Source organism: Homo sapiens, chromosome 6 (assembly GCF_000001405.40).
Source record: "Homo sapiens chromosome 6, GRCh38.p14 Primary Assembly".
Lineage (NCBI taxonomy): Eukaryota > Metazoa > Chordata > Mammalia > Primates > Hominidae > Homo > Homo sapiens.
The window spans coordinates 12820452-12847238 of NC_000006.12; the positions used below are offsets into that span (position 1 = coordinate 12820452).

The window sequence follows — 26787 nt, forward strand, 5'->3', positions numbered from 1 at the left end:
TTACAGGTGTGAGCCACCTCACCTAGCCAACTAGTGTTTCTAATGGTCTAAGTACAATGAAAACTTGTTTCAGAGCAAAGAGATGCTTTATATAACATCCCTCTCCTCCTGCTCTCCTCTCTTCTCGCTTTCTCCTCTCATCCTCTCTTATCTTGGAGTGCCTTGTATACTTTGAGTGTCTTTACATAAGGGTTACTCAACCAGGAGATTTACAAATGCACAGGTTCTACTTTGGGAAGAGAAAACAGAAATTAATTGGAAATCAAAGCATGAGACATTTAATTTAAAACTTGAATTTGTTATTGCTTCAAACTTAACATATTCAAGTGTACCTCTTCTGATTGAGAAAAGAAGCTGAGTTGCTAAGATATGAGAACTGTTTATATAAACTCTTTATTAACAAAAAATCATCATTACCATCACCAAAACCGAGCCCTCCAGGAAAGGAAAAAATAGACAAAAAGAAACCTGCCCTATGTGCTGTTGAGAAATGAGAACAATGCCTTTACTTTTGTTTGACACTTTCACCTTTTCAAACTACTTCCAAATATTTTCTTACTGAAAAACCTGGTATAGAGATCTAAGATTTTCAGGAAGGACCTTTAGTTTACTTGTATTTGTGTAGGCTAGACACAAAATCTTTCTGAGACCTACCAATGTGGTTATTCAATGTATTTGTGTCTTCAATACTCAAATATAAAGAAGAAGTGCATGAGAAGCTGACCACTGGCCAGGCGTGGTGGCTGACGCCTGTAATCCTAGCACTTTGTGAGGTCAAGGCAGTTGGATGACCTGAGGTCAGGAGTTTGAGACCATCCTGGCCAACATGGTGAAACCCCGTCTCTACTAAAAAATACAAAAATTAGCCAGGCACAGTAGCACACATCTGTAATTCTAACTATTCAGGAAGCTGAGGCAGGAGAATTGCTTGAACCTGGGAGGCGGAGGTCGCAGTGAGCTGAGATCGCACCACTGCACTCCAGCCTGGGTGACAGAGTGAGATTTCACATCAAAAAAAAAAAAAAAAAAAAAAGAGAGAGAGAGAGAGAGAGAAGTTAAGCATCAATGAGTGTGGCTCAGGTCCTAAACCACAGGCTGAAACCCCAGGAAACTTCATACCTCTGTTGTCCTACACTCCAATGTGTAGTCAGTCATTTAGTCTTTCAATGTCTCTGTATGAATGCAAGGGACTCACAGGATATTTTGTTGGGAAAAAAATCAAGGTTTTTTAAAACGATAATATATGTTATCCGTTGACTGCCTATTCTGGGCCAGGGTATTGGGTTAAGGGCTTTATAAATGTTTTTGTCAACTTCTAAAACATCTCTAGATATTATTGGCACATTGGATTTAGAAAGAAGAAGGGAGGCTAAATAAGTTGTCAAAGGTCACACAAACTGGTCCAGATTCCGCCCAGATATGTGAGCAAATGACTTTGGGTCACAGGCTTGACTGCGTCTTTGTACATATTGTTCGGTATTCTGAAAACTCTTTGAAAGGAAACTTTGGGGAAAATCATTTTAATTGTAAGCCCCATGAGGAGACCATAGTTCAAACACATCCCCTCAGCCTGGGGCCAAGTAAGAGGAACTTTAAGAAACCCCCAGGAGAGTTTATCATGTGGCCTGTAGTGTTGGTAGAAGACTCTGGGCTGCTGGAGGACACAGGTCTGGAAATATAAGGGACAAGAACCTGGCTGTGGCAGCATGACAGAGGTTTTGGAGTCACTGGACTCCTGTTGACTAAAGGTCAAAGGCATGTGTTTTGAGAGGAGGAGATGTTGGCAGAAATAGAAACTGGCCTGGAGCTGTTCTACATGGTCTTTGCTACAGAGAGCCACCTGGAAGGACAGAGTCCCCAACAGGGAGAACCTGTGTGACAACGGACTTCTAAGAACCAGAGACCTAAGGGGAGACCACGAGGAGCCATCCAGAAATTCTAGTCAGGGAGGCACAAGGGAGCGATACCACATGAAGGAGGGCTGGGGCCCAGCCAGGTGCTAGGGGATGCCTGACAATCCACCAAGCCCTCCATGAGACAGAATTGACTGTAAGTATCTGCCACGGTCAGAAGAAACCACAGCCGGGTCCTAAAAGTTCTAAGCAACTAATATGTTCCTCGCCCCAGGCCTCCTCTCCCTTCCCTGCTCTTCCAAGTGTTAGAGGAGCCGGGGCATCTAGCAAGGGTATGGCTGGAGTTTGAGGGCAAGGGCAGGACAGAGGGACAGAAGCCCATCAGGAAAGAACAGAACCAGACCTTCTTTCTTTCCCAGAATAGACTTCTAGCCAGAAGCAGCCCAAAACCACAGCTTTAACATTATTTAACATGCATGGATTCTGAGGTCAAAAGTGAGAGAAGGATTTTTGTTTTGTTTTGTTACCTCTGAGAAGGTAGATGAGCCATAAGGCCACAGAGAAAGTTTGCAAGAGAGGTTAGGGCAGCGGACAATGCCGTTTGATTTTACTCTTCAAGTCCTCCTTTAACAATAACATCTGGGTCAGGGATATGAGTGGGCTTAGCAGTAACAACAGATAAAACCCATGGAGCCTCATTAATAGATTTACTGAACAATATTGTGTTAATAGGCACCTTGGCTTCTGATTAGAAAAGGATTATATATCGAGGCAAAATTGCAAAACCTAATTTTCTGCAGACATCGCCTAATTATGGGGCCTCTGTCACCTACCACCCGTGTAAACAGGGGCAAGTTACTTACATTCTACGTGCTTAGATTTCTACATCTGCAAAATGGGAAGAATAAGTCACTTTGACCTAAGATTTTGGGAAGGAAGTAAATAAGTCAATATATTTAAAGTGTTTGGAAGAAGAAATGACACATGGTGAGTGCTTAATTTGATATTTTAAATGAGCTTTATTAAAATCAACACACAGTGAATTCAAGCAGTTAATTTGAAAGCACCCATTCATGAAGTGAACAGTGAGTTTTAAAACAATAAAATATAAGAAATGTTCCAATAGTTCAAAAAAATCAATAAGACTCGTGGAATTTTTTGAGTGAAGTGAACAAAATTAAAGGCTAACTGTATTTTCTTGGTTATTACAAACATAACAAGCCCATCTCTGGACTTGGACAGATCTGTCTTGTAGATTTTCATAGCAATTGGAGATCCATATGGAATGTGAAAGTTCTGGAACCAAATGACCCTGTTACAGTTTCAGAACACAGTTTTGTATTGAATTATGCTAACTGATTTTTATAAAATCCCTTTATCAGTTGGAGCTTCAGGTTCACTCTACATTTCGATTTTGTCGGTTGGTCTGTTTTTATAATGGGGCAGAACTAATTTGCTGCCATTTTAGAAGCTTCTACTTAGTGTTAATTCATCATATTCATTTCTTTTATTCTGCAAACAAATATAAACTCAAGTTCATTAGCTACTGGGATCATTCACTGCTTCTTTGGGGTGTGACCACATATTGATTTCATACATTCCTGAATTATATTTTTCCTTCCTTTAGAAGGAAAATTCTATTGCCTACCTCAGAGGTCCCCAACCCCCGGGCCAGGGACTGGTACTGGTCTGTGATGTGTTAGGAAGTGAGCTGCATAGCAGGAGGTGAGCAGTGGGCAAGCAGGCGGAACGTCATTTGTGTTCACAGCCGCTCCCCATCGCTTGCATTACTGCCTGAGCTCTGCCTCCCGTCAGATCAGTGGTGGCATTAGATTTTCATAGAAGCGAGAATCCTATCGTGGAAGGCACAGGCAAGGGATCTAGGTTGCATGCTCCTAATGAGAATCTAATGTGTGATGAGCTGTCACTGTCTCCCATCACCCCCAGATGGGACCATCTTGTTTCAAGAAAGCAAGCTCAGCGCCCTCACTGATTCTGCATTATGATGAGCTGTATAATTATTTCATTATATATTACAATATAACAATATAGAAATAAAATGCGCCATAAATGTAATGCACTTGAATCATCCCAAAATCATCCCCCTACCCTGGTCCGTGGAAAAATTGTCTTCCACGAAACTGGTCCCTGGTGCCAAAAAGGCTGGGGACTGCTGGCCTACCTAATGTCCCTAATGACATTATAAATCTGCATACTATTAAAGAGAAAAGAAAAGCCATATAAAGACTTTTTAGTTTACCTTTCTGAAAGAAGATGACTTAAGAATGGAATTCAGAAAGTTTAGAGGGGGTAGTGAAGAAAGGCATGGAGGCTAGAAATAAAGTAGATAAAGTTATTCTTTTCCTAGCACTATTTTCATTGCATGCTTCATTTCTTCTCAACCATGTCATAATGGGATCTATTAATATATTAGTTCTTGGGTCCTGATATTTCAGGAAATTAACTTTAGTATCTGTAGTTCTGTCCATGTATGTTTCAGTCTAATACAGAGTGTAGTGGTGAACAGCAAGGATTCTGCAACCAAAGTACTTGGGTCTGAAAGGGGCTCTATCCTGGCTCACCACCACAGTGACCTTGGGCAGGTGACTTGTGCTCTCTGTGCTGGGGTTTCCACATCTGTAAAATCAATGGAAAAGGTATTAAGTTCATATATTTAAAGTGCTTAGAAAAGGGCAAGGAGCAGTAGCTCACACCTGTAATCCCAGCACTTTGAGGGGCCAAGGCAGGAGGATAACTTGAGGTCAGAAGTTTGAGACCAGCCTGGGCAACATAGCAAGACTCCCATCTCCACACACACACACACAGACACACACACACACATTTAATTTAATTTAAAAGTTAGCTGAGTGTGGTGGTGTGCACCTGTAGTCCTAGCTACTCAAGAGGCTGGATCAGGATGATGGCTTGAGCCCCGGAGTTCAAGGCTGCAGAGGGCTATGAGTGTGCCTCTGCACTCCAGCCTGGGCAACAGAACAAAACCCTCTCTCTCTCAAAAAAAAAAAAAAAGTGTTTAGAAGAGTAAGGGGCACATGGTGACACTTAATAAATCTTAGCTCTTACTATTTCTTTTATTTTTCTGCTCATTTCTGAATGAAAGGACAGCTTCTTGTTTAGTGTGGTTTCTCCATGTTATTTGGAGACATACCAGCATGTTACAAATGAACAGAATAAGTTAATTTAAAAACCTAAGTTTGTGTTAATACAGCCAATTTGTATTTTGAAGGTCAAGTGCTGGTTGTGATGATCAATCTCATCATTCTGGTTTTTATGTTTGGATTGTGGAAGTTGTATCCACAGAAGCAGTGAATCTCAAAGGCCTGTTTCCTGCCTTTTTCCTTTCCCAGTCATTTGCCTCTACCACATTCTCCTATGCAATTTCTTTCTAGAGTGTCCTTCTGTCTCCATTTTTGCTTTTTCCTTCACCATCAGTTCCTCTGCAGGTCTGGTTGTCTCATTCTCATCTGCTAGGGTACTGCCTTTCCTCTCTTCACTTCATGAAATTCAGGTTTCCCAAACTCACCTTTACTCTTGGTAAACTCTCCACTCACGAGGAGATAAACATTACAAATAACACATGAAAAGAAAAGAAAAGAAAAGAAAAGAAACATTTAGGAGGGGACTTTTCACAACTCCATGTGTTTTTCCTAGATTACAGTTTTGTTTGTATTTTAATTAATCATTTTAATAGATTGGGAGTGTTTCTCAGTATGATTTTGTGCATGCACATAGATGACAAGGTTCTGTAATGTAGAGACTGAAAGTAATTTTTTCCCATGGCTAACTCCAAAAATGCAGACATTTGGCTGAGTGACTTAGAACCAAGAAAGCCAATAGAGGGTATATTTAATGCAGTATTTCCATTCATGTACTTACCACTTTTTTTCTGGAAAGGAATTGAGAGCTTACAAGGATATATACTCCCCAAAAAGATAATGTGAATTTAAAATGTGTCTCCCCCTACACAAAAAAGTAAAAATAAAGTATTGGGCAAAGTAGAGCCAGGGAGACTAAACATTTATATCATGATGACCCACATGTCTTTTTTAGATGCGGTTACATAATTGGCTAGGAAAATTTAAAAACTTGATCAAATTTAGCAACAATTCCCAATGTTTTCCCTACTTCAACTTGTAGAACAGATGACTTTTGCCTGTGAGATTATCATCTCCATGGGGAAATAGCTGTAGCCAGTTTGCCTCTTGTTATTCTATTTTTCTGCCTCTCAGGAAGAAAGCATACAGGAGTTCAAATTACTGTGACATTGTTATAGGGTGTCCTTGAATCTTTTCTAATTTATGTCTTAAGTATGTAATTTACAAACTTCATTACTTTAATAGTAATAATAAAAATCCCTTGCAGTGCATCTGAAATATACTGTGCTAGAGAACTTCCAGGTTTGCACAATTCACAATGTCCATAAATCAATATAAAGGAAATAATAACTCAGGTTAAGGACAATTAATCTTGAAATGAAGATCAAGCAGGGATTTCTCCTGGGACTCATTATGGGCATGCTTTGTTCAATGAATCACTTTCTCCACGACACCCTGACTGACTGTAGAAGGACCAACGAGTTCCATTGGACTAATTTTAACACTCTTAAGAATTGAATGCTAAGAACATCCTAATAACCACCCAAATTTTATTTATTCTGTGGGATACCCACTTTCCCTCACTTGTTGCAATTCTGTGGGATACCCACTTTCCCTCACTCGTTATCGTCCTTCTTTGTTGTTTCTGTGCATAAAGCTGATAGTCATTACGCTATTGATTATTTAAGAAAACAACCCATCTTGAGATAATGTTGCTGGCTAACATTCCCGGAGTTTTCTCGAAAGGACTTTTTCTATCTTTTACTTAATTACTTTAGAGATAAGAACTTCCCAAATAGCTGCTATAACTTCACCACATAGATGAGAAGGCAAATTCGCTCAATTGTATTTAATGTAGGGCAAGTATTCTTAGACATTTTGGGGTCACAAATCCATTGCAAAAATGATGAAAGCTCCATCCCTAGAAAAATGCACTGATTCATAACATTACATTTTATGTACCATTTCAAAGATTTTGTAGACCTCTTAGAGCTTACACAAAGGCCTTCTAATCCAAAGATGCCATTCATTCTAACTTAAGTAATACAGCTCTGCTTATTTTAAGATATATCCATGTGAATGAAAGCCTGTGTATGGAGAATCTACCTCTGGAAGATAATTTGAAATGACCACCACATCAGTGTCAATAGACAGAGTCAAGAGAGGTATTTCATTCATGAAAAAGGCAACATATATCCTCACACAGATGCAAATCCAATTTACTAGGATTGGCAGAACCTGATGTTTATGACAGATATTCTTGGAGCTGACAAAATCTAGTATTTTTGTGGAAGCACATACCAGCTTCAAATTGTCCACTTTTCCTGAAAAGACTGGCCCTTGGCAAGCATACTAATGATATAAAGAAAGCAGAAGTAAATTTTAATGTAATTTCCTTCAACCACATTACATGATAATATGAAAATAACAAGAAGAGCTTTCTTTTCTGTCTTATGTGAGGGTGAGGGGGGGTGAAGCTTGCAATAAATAGAATATTTGGATAAATTATGGCTTGTTGGGCTTTTTTGATACTCATTAGTCACTTTGGTTTTCAGCAATTGTTTAACATCCTTCTTTTTCAGTAAAAAACTTAATTTTGGAATGTGATTGTCAGGTTAATCAGAGCTAGAATTACCTATACAAAGAAGTAGCTGTGGGCTTTGATTACCTACCTAACCTTAACCAATCCCAGTTGGCTGAGTGGGTAGGCAATAGAGTTGTCACTCTGTGATTTTGCTGCGTATGAGGCCAATGCATCAAAAGGATTTATTTATAGATCATAAAATTCTCGGCTTAAAGTGGGACATTTTGCTTCTCTATTCTTCCCACTAATTATGAATTGTCACTGACTTTTGCAGTTACCTACTTAAATAGCATTGATTCTTATACAGTACATTTCCTATAGCGTGTTTATATGTATTCAGTATAAAAAACTGCACATGAAAACACAGAGATTAAAGTAAATTTTGATTGTATAGAAGGATGTAAAATTATGTGGATGTGTTCTTTTTATAAGAAAATAATCATCAGAAGTAGATATCAAGTATACTCTATGGTGGAATTTCTATTCTTTTTGTTTCTTTTATTCGTAATATTGGGTGACTTGTAGTATTTTAAATCCACACCAGAGACCTTTGTAGGGTATAATATTCTTGCCAAAAGAGAAGGAGTTACATGAGAATTTGACTGTAGCTGTCTTTGAAGGAGTAGGATTATGGATGGTTTCTGTTTCCCTCTGTTTCTTTATCTTCGTTTTCTTTTTCTGGAATGAAAATGTATTGCTTTTGTAATAAACAAAAACCGACCAAAAAATTATTTTTGGGGAAAAATAATGCTTCGTTGTAAAAAAAAACACAAGCTCTTTTAGAAAGCAATTTGTATGGTTTTTAGAGGCTAGGAAGTGGGGTGGGGTGGTTACGGAGAGATTGGTTAATGAATACAAAATTACAGCTGGATAGGAGGAATAAGTTTTAGGGTTGTATAGTACTGTAGAGTGAATATAGCAAACAATTTATTGTATATGTTCAAAAATCTAGAAGAGAGGATTTTGAAAGAAATCGTGAATGTTTGAGGTGATGGGTATCCTAGTTACCCTGATTTGTTCATTACACATTATACACGTGTATTGAAATATCACTCCGTACCCCATAAATGTGTGCCATTATTATGTGCCAACTAAAAATAAAAGGCAAATAATGAAACCAAAACAAAACAACAACAAGAAAGCAATTTGGAATAGAAGCAAGACATACATTGTAGCTCTCGGCCCAGGGGAGTTATTATCACAGCAAGGCAATGCCTGATCACAGTGCACACGAGTGGGATTTCTGTAAAGGAAAAAGAGAGAAAAACAACAGCATAGAGGCTAGGGAAAAAGCTCTTTCTAGTAGCAGAAACAACTGTTTACATGAAGTTGTATCTCAGCCTAGCATAGCCTTGAGGAACTCTTAGGTTTCATAGAGGAGAAGTTTGGGACCAAATTGTTGCCTCAGGTACAAGACAAAGGAGTTTTGTGCTTGACTTAGGAGGTGATGAAAACTCGTTGGAAAGTATTTGAGTAGGTGAGTGATCTGATTACTACTATGCTTTAGAAACGTTGACTGGCAACCTGGATTAGTGGCTTGGAGTATGGAATAACAGTAGAAAGAGTTTAGTAGTTGAAACTCTTTAAAATAGCCCAGAAGAGATCTTAAATTAGGCTCCAATTTTATGAGTGGAGTGGGTAAGATGAAGAAAAGATAATAAAAGAAAATGAGGCCAGGCGCGGTGGCTCATGCCTGTAATCCCAGCACTTTGGGAGGCCGAGATGGGAGGATCACCTGAGGCCTGGAGTTCAAGATCAGGCTGGCCAACCTGGTGAAACCCCGTCTCTACTAAAAATACAAAAAAAAAAAGCCAGGTGTGGTGACTGGCACCTGTAATCCCAGCTGCTGGGGAGGCAGAGACAGGAGAATCGCTTGAACCCAGGAGGCGGAGGTTGCAGTGAGCCAAGATTGTGCCACTGCTCTCCAGTCTGGGAAACAGAGCAAGACTCCGTCAAGAAAGAAAGAGAGAGAGAGAGAGAGAGAGAGAGAGAGAGAACGAAAAGAAGGAAGGAAGGAAAAGAAAGAAAGAAAGGAAAGAAAAGAAAGAAGGAAGGAAGGAAGGAAAAGAAAGAAGGAAGGAAGGAAGGAGGGAAAGAAAGAAAGAAAGAAAGAAAGAAAGAAAGAAAGAAAGAAAGAAAGAAAGAAAGAAAGAAAGACATCTTCACTTTACTGAAGACACTCCATGTATTTAATTCACAACTAAGTGAAGGCTGAAAATTGAAAATGAACTAAAAACTCCAGTCAAGTTTGATACGCAGTGGACCTGAGTTCCCAGACTCTTACTCTACTCCCTTAGTGGATTGCCCTTAAGATAAGATTCAAGGGCTTTAGAAAAAAAAAAAAAGCTGTGAAAAAGGCATTGATGGTAAGGTACTTGTTTCTTTCATTTTCTGCTTTATGGAATCCACATATTTAAGCTCACCTTGATGAATTCTATATTGAACATGTTAATAGAAATGATGACTAGAAGGAGAGAGGGGGAGGGAAACCGAAGAGCCTTCCCACCAGTCTATTATCACCTAGGGGCAGGATATACTAACTGAAGACTCATTTCTTCTGAGTAATACATATTTTTAATTTTCAAAAAAAAAAAAAATTTTTTTTGAGACAGAGTTTCACTCTTGTTGCCCAGGCTGGAGTGCAGTGGCGCGATCTCGGCTCACTGCAACCTCCATCTCCCGGGTTCAAGCGATTCTCCTTCATCAGCCTCCTGAGTAGCTGGGATTACAGGACCTGCCACCATGCCCAGCTCATTTTTTTTGTATTTTTTTTTAGTAGAAATGGGGTTTCATCATGTTGGCCAGGCTGGTCTCGAACTCCCAACCTCAGGTGATCCACCCGTCTCGGCCTCCCAAAGTGCTGGGATTACAGGCATGAGCCACTGTACCTGGCCTCAAAAAATTTTTTTATTTTGAAAAAAATGTTTATGGATTTAGGGGGTACAAGTATGCTTTTGTTACATGGATATATTGCGTAGTGGCGAAGTCTTGGCTTTTAGAGTAACTATCAACTGAACTGTGTGCCTAACATTTTAAAAAGTTGAATTCCAGAAACCTACAACATACAAAGTTATCAAAGAACTATCGTATTTGAGCTTCTTCTAGAAAAAGAAAATAAAGATGAAATATTTCTCTATGTTTTCTTATTAAAAATCATTGCTCTGTGCATAGTAGTTGCTCAAGAAATATCCATTGATAACTGGCTACATGAACAAATACATGAATGAACATTGAAATTACGATGCATTTTTGAAATCTATGTGAACACTGGGGTCTATAGTCTTTGCACTTTATAGACATTAGGTTTGTTAGAAAATAGAAAGGATCATGGTACCCAAATGAGAAAAATCATCCAGACAAGAACCCGTCACTCAGGACCTCAGGTACATATTGATTACAGTTTGCACTTCAGTGACCTAAGAGCAAGGGATGGGCTTAAAATAGAAGAAAATGTCATCTATTATTTCATAACTCAGTAGCTGAAATGCAGGCCCTACTTGGATAGAAAGACCTACAGCCTGGGTCAGAAGTCTGCCCCCTTGTTTAAATTCACATTGCACTATTGCACACTCCAAGTGTGGCTTCTCTCGAAGTGTTTCTTACCTCATAGGAGGCCTTGGCCTGTCTGAAATTGTTCTATGTTTCATCAGATTCCTTGACTGACACAACAAGAATGACAGCTGTGATGTGATTTAGAACCACCTATGTTAATGCTCATACAGTAATGACTTTTCTTCTTCTTGGCTATTTGGAGATATAAGGGAAGAGAAGATTAAATCTAAGAGATGGAAAATACACTTCTCATTAATATGGTCTTGGTCTTTTCAGACACACACACAATTTTTAATGAGTTCTTAAAATAGTTACTGTGTATTTTGACTTGGGAAAGGGATCTTAGACTGTGTGATCTGAACACCCTCCTCATTTTATGGAGGAGGAAATAAAAATCAAAATTTTAGCCAGGCTTGACGGTACATCCATCTGTAGTCACAGTGACTCAGGAGGCTGAGGTGGAAGGATCACTTGAGCCTAAGAGTTTAAGGCTGCAGGGAGCCATGATTGTGCCAATATACTCCAGCCTGGGTGACAGAACAAGACCTGGGCTCATAAAAATTATGAAAAGTAGACATTGAAAAGGTTTAATGAGTGTGCCAACTAAGGTGATGCTCATCTCTATCAGAACTATGGTGAAATCTAGGGGTTCTCTCCCACATTCTCAAGATAGCAGTCTGAAATTCCAGGGTACAGCACTTATTATAGGGAGAACACTTGGAAAGAACATCTTATGTTAGCTAAGAGTCTGAAATGGAATTCATTTCATATACCGTAAAACTGAGCTGAATGTTCTGATACATTTAGCTTTAGAATGCTGCTGTCATTGCTAGGCCAGCATATTTGTCACACAGTAGCATGAAAATAAAAAACAAAAAATAAGCCGCTCTAGAACTGTAAGCATTACAAAATAATTTATGGCCTAACATGTCTCGAATAATCAGACAATTCATCTCTTGTCAACAGGAAGCACTTTGGGGTTTTTTTTCAACCTGGCCTTGGTAACTGGGACACAAATACTAAGCTCTTTAGGGAGTCAAGAACTTCTCATATGAAAGCCAATGAAGTCGCAAAGCAAGCAAAATTGGAATGTTTTTATTAAATGTGGTGTAATGCTCAAGATTTCACTTACCCCATTGCTTGTTTCAAAGCCCTTTGCCTCAATAAATAATTTAGTTTCAGACCTTTAAGCTGTTATTTGGAAAAGAACAGCCCCCACCCCCCATCTTTTGTTCCTCTTATGTTGTCAGGCACACAGATATATCAGTAATAGACACGGGGTGTGGAATAATATGCTAAATGCTAAAATGCCTTCTCTGAGCCAAAACATTTGACTTCTTTTCCATCACAATCAGTCTTAGGACACATGAGATAAGCAACCTGCAGCTTTAGACTATCAACTGTAATGTGATCAAAAGAGCAAATTCCAAATTAGCAATGGTTCCAAATTTGGTGAGGTAGATAGAATATGAGGAGACAGTCTCAATTGTGGAGCCAATTGATTGTGTGTCCATGAAGAAGTCACTTCACCTATGAGGTTCACTGTCTTCCCACTGTGAGGTGCCTCCTGCCTCTGGAATGCTGTGATGTAGAGGAACTATCCATGTGCTACTTGGGTTTTGGCTTCCTTTTCGTGTTAAACCTGGGCACATCTAAGGAATCTTTGATATACTAGATAATCTCTGCTCCACAAACCTGTAGTTCTTTTTTTTTCTTTTTTTTTGAGATGGAGTCCTGCTCTGTCACCCAGGCTGGAGTGCAGTGGTGCGATCTCAGCTCACTGCAACCTCTGCCTCCCAGGTTCACGCCATTCTCCTGCCTCATCCTCCTGAGTAGCTGGGATTACAGGTGCCCACCACCACACCTGGCTAATTTTTGTATTTTTAGTTGAGACAGGGTTTCACCATGTTGGCCAGGCTGGTCTCAAACTCCTGACTTCAGGTGATCTGCCCGCCTCAGCCTCCCAAAGTGCTGAGATTACAGACGTGAGCCACTGTGCCCGGCCAAACCTCCAATTCTTGAATGACATCTGAATATCTACTTCTGTCCATGTTCATCACCACGTTCATTGTATTTGAAAACATCACCTTTCTCATCCCAGTTATTTACTGGTCTCCTGCTTCCGCTCTTACATATACACACATGGACATGCACATGCATGTGGACACAGTTTATTCTTCATAGGGCAGCTGGGGTGAACACTTTTAACTATAAATCCTCTAATGGCCTCCTACTACACTGGAATAAAATCCCATCCCCTAGCCTGCTGTGGACAGTGCCTGGGCTGGCCCAGCCTCCCTCTCCTTCTACTCCTGCCCGTACTTACCATGCTTGGGCACTCTGACATTTGCACCAGTAACTCCCTCCAGCTGGAGTGGTCTTCCCTGATTATCCTGTAGCTGCATCGTTTTTGTAAATCAAGGTCTCAGTTTGGAGCTGCCCCCCTTAGAGAGACCTTCCTGATCCCCATCCTGACAGTAGGCTATGGTCACTCTTGGCTCTGATCAACCAGCTATAGTTCTGCAATAGCACTTATTGTTCTCTGAAATCATAATTTTATACTTGTCCACTGCTTTTATTCCCACCCATTCCCCTAAGATATTTGACAAGACTTTACTTATTCTTTCCATTGATGCGTATCACTAGAACAATGTCTAGCACATAGGTACTCAATAACTATTTTTCAAAAGATTCTGGAAGATAATAAAAATATGTTCCCTTTGGCTGAAGTAATTGTATTTTGTCAACCCTGGGACCTGATTGGCATAATACATCTATAGATATGAGTAGAAATGTCTCAACCTTCTTCCCTGGGGAGTTTGAGCTTGTGAAGTCTGATTCTCTAGGTTGACATTTCTGCAGATTGGGTAGAGTTAAGTAGGTTTAAAATGATAAAGTGAAATGGCAGTGTTATCCAAGAAGTTAAAATAGAGAAGGAAGGGTATCAGCACATAACTTACATTTTTAAACTACACAAAGGTATATGCAAAATGTGCACCCGTGAATAAAATTTATATAGATGTAGCTATGGCCAGGTGCACACACAAGTCCAGATAACTATAGCAGTGGGTGGAAACAAAAACTTGAGTAATACAAGCAAAACCTAATACCAAAAATAGTTTACCCTATTTTAGAGATGTAGTAGTCAGAGTCATAAGGTAATGAGATAAAAACAAAACTCAGAGTGTGTACGTCCAAATAAATATTTCTCTCAATATTGTCTTCAGAACACCATACAATATATTCTGCTTAAATATGCATATGGATTGATTCAAGTGACTAGTTTTTGATAGGTTGCTAGAACAATGTAGAACATTCTAGAACCTCCTAGAACAGAATGATTACTATCAGTGGTGGAAGCATCTGTACCTCTTCAAATACCCTCTTCGTAAAAATGTATGCTTGAAAGGCAAAATGATTTATTTGTGCCTCACAACCAATTAACAATGAAGATAATTCAGAAAAAGGGAGCAATGAGCTTAGGATGAAAAGCTAGAGAAGAGGTAAGAGTTGACCTGGATGGGATGTGAAGAGCTGGCAGAGCAAAGGCAGGCATCCCAAATGGAGAGAACCTGAGGAGAGTGCAGACCTCTTGTGGAAGGTAGAACTGAGTGTGGACAAACCTGGAGTAAGAGGTGAGAAGTCAGGTGGGGAACCTTGGGTAGGGTCACATTATAAAGACATTTCTTCCTTTCCAGCAGTGAGAAAAATGTGGAGAGAGGAAAATGAGGTTTTTCTGGGGACACCTGTGTCAGAGTGTGAGGCTTGGGGAGCAGCTGTGGGTAGTTCAGAGGAGGGTTGGACCGCTCCCTGGCCTAACCCTTAATCAAGGAGACGACTGTTGCAGTACGACAGGCCTGAAGGATTTGACCTTGAGAAGAAAGGCCGGTTGAGGAAATACTTTTAAACACTTATTTATTGGCTTTAATTTTCTTTCCTTATTTTTAATAGACTGTACATTGTCATTCAAAATTCAATAGTTTTAAAAGGGTATTCAGGAGAAATAAGTCTCCCTCCCAGCAACTAATATCACACATTTTTTGGATACCCATTTTAAGACATATTTTAGAGAAGAAAGTATGAATAGGGATAGACTAAATATTAATAATTTGCTATGTTTTATGCAATAGTTTATTCTTCACCATGGTTTTATGTTATCAACACCCTTTAAGGTAGATAGGACGGATGTTTTATTTCGATTTTGCTGACAAGGAAAGAGGATCAGAAAAGTTAAGTAACATAAAAAGTTAGTAGCTTTTTAGTGGAAATATCTAAATTAAGATTCAGGTTTTTGGGACACACACAAAAGAAAATACTTAAAGATAACTGCAAATGAAATTTCACATATACTAATTTCATCCTCAGTTTTTGAATAGCTGCAAAGCACAAAGTTTTAAATTTTTTTTGAAACAAAAATAAAAAAAAATTTAAATCCTCAGTGTGCCCACATTGTTTCCTTATAAAATCCTGTAAAACATAATGGCCTTTTATTTAAAACCACAAAACAACAATAATAATGGTTGCAATGCTTTTGAACTGAGTACCGAGGACTTTGTTTCAGCTTGAATTGCTTTCTGTAACCTGTAAGGAAGCCATCAGCCTCACCTGACTTCTAAAGTCATCAGAAAGTGCACCCACAGAGCCTTAAAATATGAAGTATCAGCCTGGTACTGAGTTTCAACTGCTGTCTCCCTCTTCTCTCTCCTGCCAACTCTGTTTCTTTTTTCAGTTTCAATTTCAGGACAAATGATGGAATAAGATTTTCTTTTTCCATTGGGCAAGCAATTTACCTGAATTCTTTTGGTGGCACCGTTTGGTAAACCTAAAGAAATCAAAGTCAAAACCTTGGATTCTTTTGAGTATTTGTTATCAGGATTATTCCCTTGTTGTATCCTTTTATTGATGTCAATAGCACAAAGGATACTAGGCTAAACAGAAGAATGGAACATCTCCAGCAATATTTAGAGAACTGGAAAGTGAAAAGACATCTTCAAGTACTAATCAGACTATCATTGAAACTGTCCCTGTAAACTTTATTAAATTAATCAGGGAAGAAGAGAGAAAGAAAAAATAAAAATAACCTAAGCCTGCAGCACATTCAGCATTAATTGCTAGGTCAGCTGCTCTCTGACCTGCTTCCTCACAGTTGTTTGGTGCCTGTTGTCCTAGCATCATGTAGACCCAGCTACAAAATTATAGTTTCCTTTAACTGTTCCATAGATAACAACCTGAACATCATGAAATGTTAAGTTTTCCCTTTGAGATGTTCTTTCAGGTCCTACATGCCAGTAAAACTACTGACATCAGCTGGTTTAAAGGACCCCACCAGAAGCTGGCTTATCAAGGAATGCAGTTTCCACATTCTGATGATTGCATCCCTCTTACCCCAACCAATCAATGACCTCAATTTTCCAGCCCCTCCCCCTCTATGTTCCTCTTTAAAACACCAGCCCAGAACTCCTTGAGGAGATGGATTTGAGAGCTTCCTCCCATCTCTTTGCTCAGTGTCCTGCAATCATTAAAGTCTTTCTCTGCTACAAACCCTGCTGTCTCAGTGTAATTGGTCTGTTACAGTGCAGCAAGCACAAAAACCTGTTGGTCCTATAATAGTGTCTTTGCAGATTTTCCAGAACCAATGCAGTAAAGAATGATGATAAAAAATTACAAATACCAGAGTTGGACTCGTTTAGCTTAAAGGTCCATTTCTAGAAATGATAGTTGAAATAATATCTGTGTAATATTGCTAGAGATATAAATTATATACTTTTAAAATTACTGTCTTTTAGTTACAAAGAGGAGAGAATTGTTCTAAGAAAGCAAGCACCTCCTCAATAATTCACTTTATAATTTAAATCTTCAAAATTATTTCAAATATTATCTGCCTTTCTCCAGGGAGCCAGGAGTTTCTTAAAGGCATTGTCTCATCAGTCCTATTAGTTCCAATGTAATGAAAAAATTAAGCAGATATCTAGCATCTTTTCCATTCTACTTCTGAAAAATAAAGATAAGGAAGAGATATCATTTGTCCAACTTAACACAGTTTACCTAAATGAGACAAACAAACCACAAAAATCTCTTTTTCTCTATGAATTGCAGCCCTACCCCAACGTAGCTATGTGGCCCTGGGCAAGTTTTAACAACCTAAGCAGCAACATTCTCTATAAAATGTGGATAAAACCTTCACAAAATTATTGGGAGTGCTACAGAGATATATATGTTAAAGTAACAAGCCAGTGACTGACAGTAATAGGTATGTGTATTAGTCTTCCAGTGCTGCACAGCAATGTGGCCTCAAACTTAGTGGCTTAAAACAACATATTTATCACCTCACAGGCTTAGCTGGATCCTCTGCTTCAGTGTCTCACAAAGCTGCAAAGGTGTTGGCCAGGGCTACATTCTCATCTGAAGGCCCAACTGGGGAAGGAGCCATTTCCAAGCTCATGTCATTGTCAGCAGAATTCAGTTCCTTGCAGTTGTAGGACTGAGGGACTTGGTTTCTCACCTGCTGTCAGCTGGAGGATCCTCAGTGGCAAGAGGCCACCCCAACACGGCTACTAGCTGCATTAACCAGCAAGTGAAAGCGTTTTCCTATATTGTATAATTACAGAAGTGACAGCCCGTCCCCGTGGCTATAACATACCGAGTAAAAACAAGTCACAGTTCCTGCTCACACACAAGAGAAAAGGGTCACATGAGGGTATGAAAATCAGAAGGCAGGGATCACAGAAGCCAACCTGGAGCCTGGTTGTGTCTGATGCCTGGTTCCTCCAGGCACTGTGTCTGTGTTTAATGCCACTGTATCTGATGCCTGTCTCCTCCTTTCCTATCTCACCACCCTTCCTTGTTTCGATTCCTAGATTGAAAGACCATATATAACCCCTGCTATCCAGCAAAATCTTGTCTATTCAGTTAAAGGCAGTACTTTAGAATTTCATAGAAATAAAATAGGAGAAGAAAATTCATGCTGGAAAATATTAAAAGTAGTAGTTTATAACAAGTTAAGTTGTCTTTGGTAAAATAAACAAGTAAAATTTCGTAAAATGGGAGGCCCTCATGTTCTCTTGTTTGTGCTTTTAATGCCATTTTGTTGGATGTGTTTGGAAAATGATTGCAACTCTAAATCAATGAGTACAAAAGCACTCATGAAATATGGGCACTACAAAATAATTTCATTCAATAGCCTCAAAATGGTTGTGAATTTGTGTTCCCCTAAGTATGGTTAAAAATAACCCCAACCCCCACATGAAGCAGAATGGCATTAATGCAGGTGTGAGTCAGCCTGGGCAGTTTGGCCATGTTTGATAAGCCTTATCTGCATCTCAGGTCTCTGGTCTCTAGGGTCTTCGGAAAATGTTGGGGTCTTTAAATTATAAGGCTGTTGCTGCTGCTGATGCTGCTGCCAATGATGATGGTACTAGCTAATATTTACTGTGTACTTACTGCATGTCATTTACTCTAAATGGTTCATATGTGTAATTTAATACAACCCTGGAAGAAAGGAACTGTTATTATTTCTATTTCACAAATGTAGAAACGGCCTTAGAGAGAATTAGGTCACATGGCTAGCAAGTAGCAGGGCCTGGATTCTAACCATAGAAAAGTTCAACCTCAGAACCTCAGAATTTGCTTTGAGGAATAGGGAACTTGAAGATGCAAATAAGAAGGCTAACAGTGGGTCTAAATACTCTTTTCAAAATGTCACAGGACTGCATGTTGAAGATGCATACATTGTATCTGTGACCAAGGAATGGTGTCAGCCCTTGCTCCTGTACTTGCCCCATCCTTGCTGCCACCCAGGCATCAAGCAAGCTATCATTCCTTCCCTTCAAGTCAGTCAGCAGGGAGTAATCAGGATATTTTTCATCCCCTCCACCCCACAGCGAGTCCTTTGTGGGGTTCAGTAAAGTCAGGTTTTGTCATGCCATAAAGCAGAGTAGCCAGGCTACTTCTGAGGTAGGCTGGCCCTTCTAGATATGTCATGGGGCCTGTGGGCTGGGTTCCTTCTGCCTGGTCCCACTGACCCCTCATAGGGGTACCAGGATTATCTTGGTCTCCTCAAGCCTCATCCTCCCAACTTGATTCCAAAGTCTGATGCAGTTAACAGAAACAGGATACTGGTCACCAACAGATCAAGATGTACACACAAGACAGTGAGTTCGCCCTTATGCATAACACACGGTTCGTTAAATTATAATGAATGAAGTAAGATCAATTGTCTATGGCATGCTGATGCTGAGTAACATTTCACACCTTGATCAGATGTGGTGAAGATAGGCTGCGCAGAAGGTGAAAACAGTGCCTGTGACTAGAAGACCAGAGTGTAGAGCGAACACGGCCATAAAGCAAGAACAGAGGATCATTGACTTATACTTTTTTTTTATTTATTCAGAGAGTACTCCCAGCACCAATGTAGGGGAATTAGATATTGATGAGAAATCACAAGCAGAGTTTTTATGTAGGTGTCATGTAGGAATGGTGTCAGCCCTTGCTCCTGTACTTGCCCCATCCTTGCTGCTACCCAGGCATCAAGCAAGCTATCATTCCTTCCCTTTAAGTCAGTCAGCAGGGAGTAATCAGGATATTTTTCATCCCCCTCCACCCCACAGCGAGTCCTTTGTAGGGACTGACTGATCAAGGGGATCTGATTACAGATCACTGACTTTGAAAATTATTTTCAAAAATATAAACCATTTGTATTTTATACTTTTTTGATGCTAATTCATTCAAGAATGCATGGTATGGATCTTTATAGAATTCATCTAAAAATGCAAAGCAACTGGCTTTAGTCAAGCCATTATCTTGGCATATCTAGCTTATTATCTTTAAATACTGCCCATTTGTTCTGTTAACTTGCTCCATCATGCTAACAACCTAAGCATAACAGAAAAGAAGACTGTGTTCATGAGAAAGGGGCTAGTGGAGCCTGTGTCCAGGGATCGACTTGTAGAAAAAGAGTCCAGACAGGAGAGCCTGCCAGAAGCTCTTTTCTGTATTGCTGCCTGGACCCACTCTCTCATCCAGGAAGAGCAACAGCAATGTATCACAGCAGTGGAACTTTCTGGGACCTTATGATGCAGCACTCAGTAAAATCCTAGATAGAAATGGGTAATTTAGACATAGGTTTCCTATACCCATACATCAGCACAAGTCTCACCATCTCTACCAAAAGGAAAGTACATAGGTCTACACCTCCACCCCCAAATTTATGTCTATTCAAAGGTAGTGACCATTTTCTCTTGCTCTTTTTGTTCAAATTTCCAGGGATATTATCACTGCTTTAAAGGAGAGTACTATGCATGAAGGAAGTATTTAAGTGATGCTTGTTGCATTGAGCTGATAAGGACATACTGCTACAGACTCAGCAATTGAGTTGATTTTGTGGATGGCACGGTCACTCTCTCAGCCATGCTGGGGCACAACCTTAAATAGGAGTCTAAGTGGGAACATGGAACTCACGAAAGTGGCACTCCGCAGGACGGGGTCTCCTGGCTGCATTAAAGCAGTGAGAAATATAAGAACTGACTTCGTTTTTTTACTGTCTGTTGCATAATATGCACTGCATTAAGCTCTTTGGGTAGAGTTACTTCACTTAATCCTCACAGCAATTCCTTATGGTATGAGATAAGAAAACTGAGATTTGGAGAAGTTAAATGACACATCCAAGGTCACACATTTAATAAGCTGTCAGATGAAGCCCTGACCCTAAGACCCTGTTTCTTCCATTAGACCAATGTGTTGTCTCTTCCTTTTTGTTGTTTGCTGTGCAGAATCACATCATTCTACTTAAAGAGTGTGCCTCTACCATAGTTGCACTAGGATGATTTGAGAGGCCACCAGCTTGAACCTGTTAAATTCTAGGAAACTCTCATTAAGATGAAAATGAGTGGGGCTTCACAATATCTCAGCTCCATGTACTTCTAATGCAGAGGAGAAGAGCATTATACAAATGAATTGAGCATCAGATATCAAGATTTTCTTTTTTGTTACATCACTAGGAAGATAAGAAATATTTTTTAAATGCTGATGACTAAATGGAAAATCAAATTTCCAGCATGCTCAGGGAGAAATATTAGTCAAACGGAATAATTCAGCATTTCAATGTTTACTGTAGCTATCTAGCTATCAAAAAGGGAGACTAGAAATGATAGTTTTAAAAATCAGTGTTCTATTTAAACAATTGAAAGAGTTGGCCAAGAATGTGTACAGTAAACATTTCAAGTTTATACCAAAAATCATTCTGATAATTATCCTGGTTTATCTGCAGTATCTGTTGTGGGAATCTTAACCCCTGGCAATATTCTTTTCTATGATATTATCATTTAATTAAGCAGCTTATTTCAGTTGTCCAAGGGCTTCTTACACCTTTATTTAAAAAAAAGGTAAAGAAGGCCCTTTAGAATCTTTTGATCTCATCTTGAATCTGTACAAGTTTGTGGCATCACTCAAAACAATCATGTTATTTTTATGCCACTAGTAATAAGGAGATTCATTCTAAGACAACTGTTTTTCTACCTTTTAATATAAGGCATATATAAATAAAATAAATAAAAATAAATCTGTAAAATAACATTGGAAAAAAATCTATAAGGAGAACAAATGATGCCTGTTTTATGTTTTACCCTTAAAAATTCTATTGAAACATTTCTGAAAACATCCCAATGAGTAATTTGCATTATTCAGATACAGTTAACTTGATTATTTAAAGCATAATTTCATGACTCATGAGTATCACTTCTCTCAGTGTGGCACACTACATAGACAGTCTTCAACTTTGCCAGTGTTACTGGGGAAAACATATGATAGTAAGGGTGTCATATTTTCCTGTAAGGACAATGTTGTAAGTAGGAGGCTGTGTAATTTTGCCCAATGGGTCAATGTCATAAATTACTGATGAACTGTTGAAATGATGTAATTTATAATTTTGAAATTATTTCAAATAGTAAAACACATTTTAATCAATGCATTTAAACAGTAAAGGTTTTTTATTTTTTATTTTTATTTTGAGACACGGTCTCAATCTCACTCTCACTCAGGCTGGAGTGCAGTGGTGTGATCAAGGCTCACTGCAGCCTCCACCTCCTGGGCCTAGGTGATCCTCCCACCTCAGCCCCCTGAGTAGCTGGGACTGTAGGCAAGTACTATCATGCCCAGCTGATTTTTTTTTTTGCTGTTGTTAGAGACAGGGTCTCACTCTGTTGCCAAGGCTGGTCTCAAACTCTTGGCCTTAAGCAATCCCATGCCTCGGCCTTCCAAAGTGCTGAGATTACAGGTGTGAGCTACCACACCCGGCCTAAAGGTGTTTTTTTCTAAATCTTGCAAAATCAACATTAATGTAATGTACCTATTGATTATTTAAAGAATGTCAATGTAACCATTAGATGGACATCTAGCACATAATTATAATTGTTTTGGAGGTCACAATTTGACTTATCTACCCTTTATATGCTACTTAAATGAAACATTTTCTTAGCAGTTTCTTTTTGTCATTGGAATGTAGGAAGACTTTGAGTTGATGTTTTGATGGTCCAAGTATCTTAATGTGGGAACTAGGACTCTTTTCTCTTGTTAAAATTCCCTATAGCAAGGAGAATATTCAGAACTTTTCTATTATTACTTAAGAGCAATAATCACTTTGAGTTGATCTTTGAAGACATGAAAATAAAAGTTATTTCTGTAGCTCCAATAAGGACTTTAGCTCCGGAGGTTTGGACAGCAGGTGCCTGAACTGTCTAGTCTTTTGGTTCACTTTCTTTTCATTGTTTCCCATTTCAGTGACAATTTTATGACAGCCTAGAAGGAAAAAAGGAGACACAAATGAGGAGGTCTAGAATCTGGTGTAGAAGCTTGAAGGCTGGGGGTGGCAGGTCGGGAGAGCAGAGCCCAGAGAGTGGAAAATAGCAGTTATGCACGTGTGTGTGTATAGACAGATAAATAGATAAACAGATAGAAAGATTGCTTTACCTAGAAATACCTATCTCTTTTGAAGCTGATGAGCAAACCAGTTGCTTGAAAACCATTGATTCCTCATAAATAATGTGTTAAACCATGCATCATAAATTGACAACTTCTTCTCAATGCCAATGAGAATAAGATGAAGGATTTCAGACCCACATGGGCAACTTGAGCTTTGCAGATATTCAAAGATGGTTAACTTTGAATATTCAAAGATGGTAAACTGACATTAAATGAAGGAGATGGTATGAGTAACAGACTTCATAGTAGGTATGACATGTGGTAGACTATCAATCAATAAAGTTCCCTTTACTCTTCACTGAAAACAGGTCAAGTCTGTATTAATATTTGTATACAATGTTTTAGCTGGTCATAAAAGTCATTTGTTTCTTTGCATCGATGGAGTGCAGTAGAAACAAAATAATTTTAAAGTCAAACAGACATAGGTGTGAATTTCAGCTCTATCCTCACTTGCTACGTGACCTTGAGCAATAATCACTTTGAGTCAATCTTTGAAGACATGAAACTAAAAGTTATTTCTTAGTTGGTGTCTCTGAACCCAAGGTTCCTCTTACATGAAATGAGATTTAAAATTTAACAAGAATCAGGCCAAGCGCAGTGGCTCATACCTATAATCCCAGCACATTGAGAGCCTGAGGCAGGATAACCACTTGAGGCCAGGAGTTTGAGATCAGCCTGGGCAACATAGCAAGATTCCATCGCTACAAAAAATTTTAAAACGTTAGCCGAATGTAGCAGTACACACTTGTCCTCCCAGCTACTTGGGAGGCTGAAGCAGGAGAACCCCTTGAGCCCAGGAAGTTGAGACTGCAATGAGCTGTGATCACACCACCGCACTCCATCCTGAGTGACAGAGCAAGACCCTATCCCCCGCCCCCAAAAAAACACAAATAAATAAATAAAATAAAACATTAACAAGAGCAACTATCGCACTGTGAGGTCAGAGAAAATATAGGTTAAGGCACCCAGGTCGTGATGCCTTTTATGATGTACTGGGCAAAGTTCTATGCGTACAGGACACTGAGGTAAAGCACACAAACCAGTTCCTTGCTCTAGGGAGTTTATATTTTGGTAGGCAAGTGTTCAATAACTGTTAGAATTTATTACTATCTGCAAACACTGCATTATAAAGCACAGAGAAATACTAGATGGAACATCCGCCTTCTGGAGCCTGCAATGTTTCAAGAAGTATTTGAGGTAGGAAGGAAAGAATTAAAGGTGAAAGAAAAAAAAAGAAAAGCAAGCAAGCCAGCAGCAGAAGGTACCACTAAAGAAATGATGGGAAAGTGGCTTGGGGAGGAAATTGGGCTACTGTTAAAAGCAATCCGTGGGCCTAGAAGAAAAACCTGTCCCCTCTGCTTAGCCCTCTAGTGGTGGGAACAAATAAAAACATAAATACTTGAGCAGCAAGTATAAACATAAATGCTTGAGCAGCAACAGACAAATTAACTGGTTACAGAAAGGCCACCTATTATGTTTCCCTTCTCCCCTGGTATAAGATTTTGAAGAAAAAAAATTAATAAAGCCATAATGGTATACATGTAATATGTGTGTGTTTGTGTGCATATTTATGCATATCTGCATCTGAGCGTTGGATCGACGTTTTTCAAAATTGTGGGTTTTTAAAAAATTTACAGCGTGATTATGTGTTTGGGCTGCTTATACATCAATGCATGATTTATAAGAGGGAAAGTGGAGAAGTGCCCTCAGTTATTTCGGTCTCTTTTCTTCTTCACCAGATCTCTTGATGCATAAGTGTTACCCATCACATAGGCCAGCAGATCTTTTGTAAATCCTTCCCCACTCTCTCCTTTGCATTTCAGTCTCCACTGCCAGGTGCTTGCTCATTCTTTTGCAGAGAGAAAGGAGAAGAGTGCCAAGATGTCATTGTGAACACCACCCACCCCCCCCCCCCCCGCCCTCCGTGCTGGGCAGTCTTTCTGCTGCTTTGCAGCATCAGATGGCAGCATTATCATCCATAGCACGGCAGGTATTTCCCCTCAGGGATTACTGTTTCTGTTCAGCACCGAGACAGTCTAATGTGCTGAGATTATTATCATATATAAGGCATTTGTGTAAGGTTTACCAAAAAAATACCTCCGAAAGGAAGATAGACTGAGGTTAATGCATCTCTTTAGTTTGCTTCCTGCACATCTGAGTGCCAGAATTCTGTGCTTTATTAAGTTCCTTTTGTGGGCTCTGATACGGAATTGTGCACATGCGTCCCTGCAATGTACGTTATCTTATTCCTTTTAAAAGGTGATTTGTCTCACCAGAAGGCAGTATTCTCTTAGGCTCGGCAAGAGTAACTTTGACTTCTTTGTTTAAAATAGCTCCCTTATTGTCCTTAACATTTCATCTGACAAAGTAAGCAATTTCATTGTGTGCAGATTTCATGCACCTGCTGAAAGTATGCATCTCTTCCCTGCCAATTCCTAAACCAAGCCAGCAAGGTGAATAGTTTAAATGTAATTTGTTTGCAGTTAGCAAAACTGTGGAGAGGAGGGAACTGATAACGATACTGAAGCCATTTCTTTAAAAACAAACAAACAAACAAACAAACAAACAAACTGAGTTCCAAACACATAACATGAAGACTTTCGCTCTCCACTTGGAAGGATGACTTTAGCCACATGTTGATATTTAATTGTTGGTCGGTGTGCCCAGTGGACTGCTTGGCACATAATGAGAGCTTAGTAAGCATGTGCGTTTGTCAATAGTTATCAATGAATGGATTGATAAATGTTGATGGCTGATACAGAGAATATAATCTTAACTATTCTGTAAATGGAAAATTTTAAGTTGGTACCAACACATGTCAGATACTTTTCTTGAGACAATACTGCAAATTTCCTTCAAAATAGTGACAGTTTTAAGGTCTCTGTGTTCTAATAAACCCAATTTCCTTTCAGCATCTTAAGGACCTTACTGTTAGGTAAAACTTTATGGGCAGATGTTTCCTAACAAAACTGAGTAGACCTTGAGTCTAAGATTCAGAGCTGCAAGGCATGCACTGATGTTACTTACAAACCAAACCAGATTTCTTACGTGTAAGGTGTGGTAGGAACACTTGGCTCTTATTGAGCTTTTTAGTCATATATTTGCTTGTTAACTTTTGAAGTAATATTAATCTTACAGGAATTTTGGAAATATAGGAATGTATAACATCATCACCTTAATAATTAATGCTTCTTTCGTCCTTTTTTTTTTTTGTGGCCTTAGGAGATTTGTGGTAATTGCAACTACAGTTTATATACCACTTAGCAACTTGCTTTTTATTTTTATTTTTATTTTTATTGAGACAGGGTCTCACTCTGCCACCCAGGCTGGAGTGCAGTGGCCGTCTCAGCTCACTGCAGCTTCTGCCTCCCATGCTCAAGGAATCTTCCAACCTCAGCTTCCTGAGTAGCTAGGACCACAGCTAGGACACACGCCACACACCCTGCTAATTTTTTTCTTTGTTTTTTTTTTGTAGAGATGGAGTTTCGCCATGTAGCCCAGGCTGGTCTCAAACTCCTGAGCTCAAGGGATCTGGCCGCGTTGGCCTCCCAAAGGGCTGGGATTATAGGCGTGAGCCACTGCGCCCAGCAGCAACTTGCTTTTTTTCTTTTGTTAAAGATAATGTTCTCTTATAAGCATTTTATGTTGCTGCATGGTCTTCATAGTTGTAGGTAATTCGACCACACCTGGTATAATCACATTCACAGATGTC

The 26787-nt window shown here is 39.3% G+C and overlaps 1 protein-coding gene and 1 long non-coding RNA gene across 14 annotated transcripts in view; one reads left to right on the forward strand and one right to left on the reverse strand.

The window, feature by feature from the left end:
* Window positions 1-26787, forward strand: part of PHACTR1 (phosphatase and actin regulator 1) — a 571071-nt gene that overhangs the window by 103685 nt on the left and 440599 nt on the right. The window lies entirely within an intron of this gene.
* On the reverse strand, window positions 8144-14302 carry LOC105374934 (uncharacterized). Its single transcript, XR_007059458.1, has 5 exons — window positions 14227-14302; window positions 13429-13501; window positions 11154-11294; window positions 8719-8793; window positions 8144-8228 (listed from the first exon to the last, which is right to left on the reverse strand). It is a non-coding gene; the product is annotated as an uncharacterized LOC105374934 (long non-coding RNA).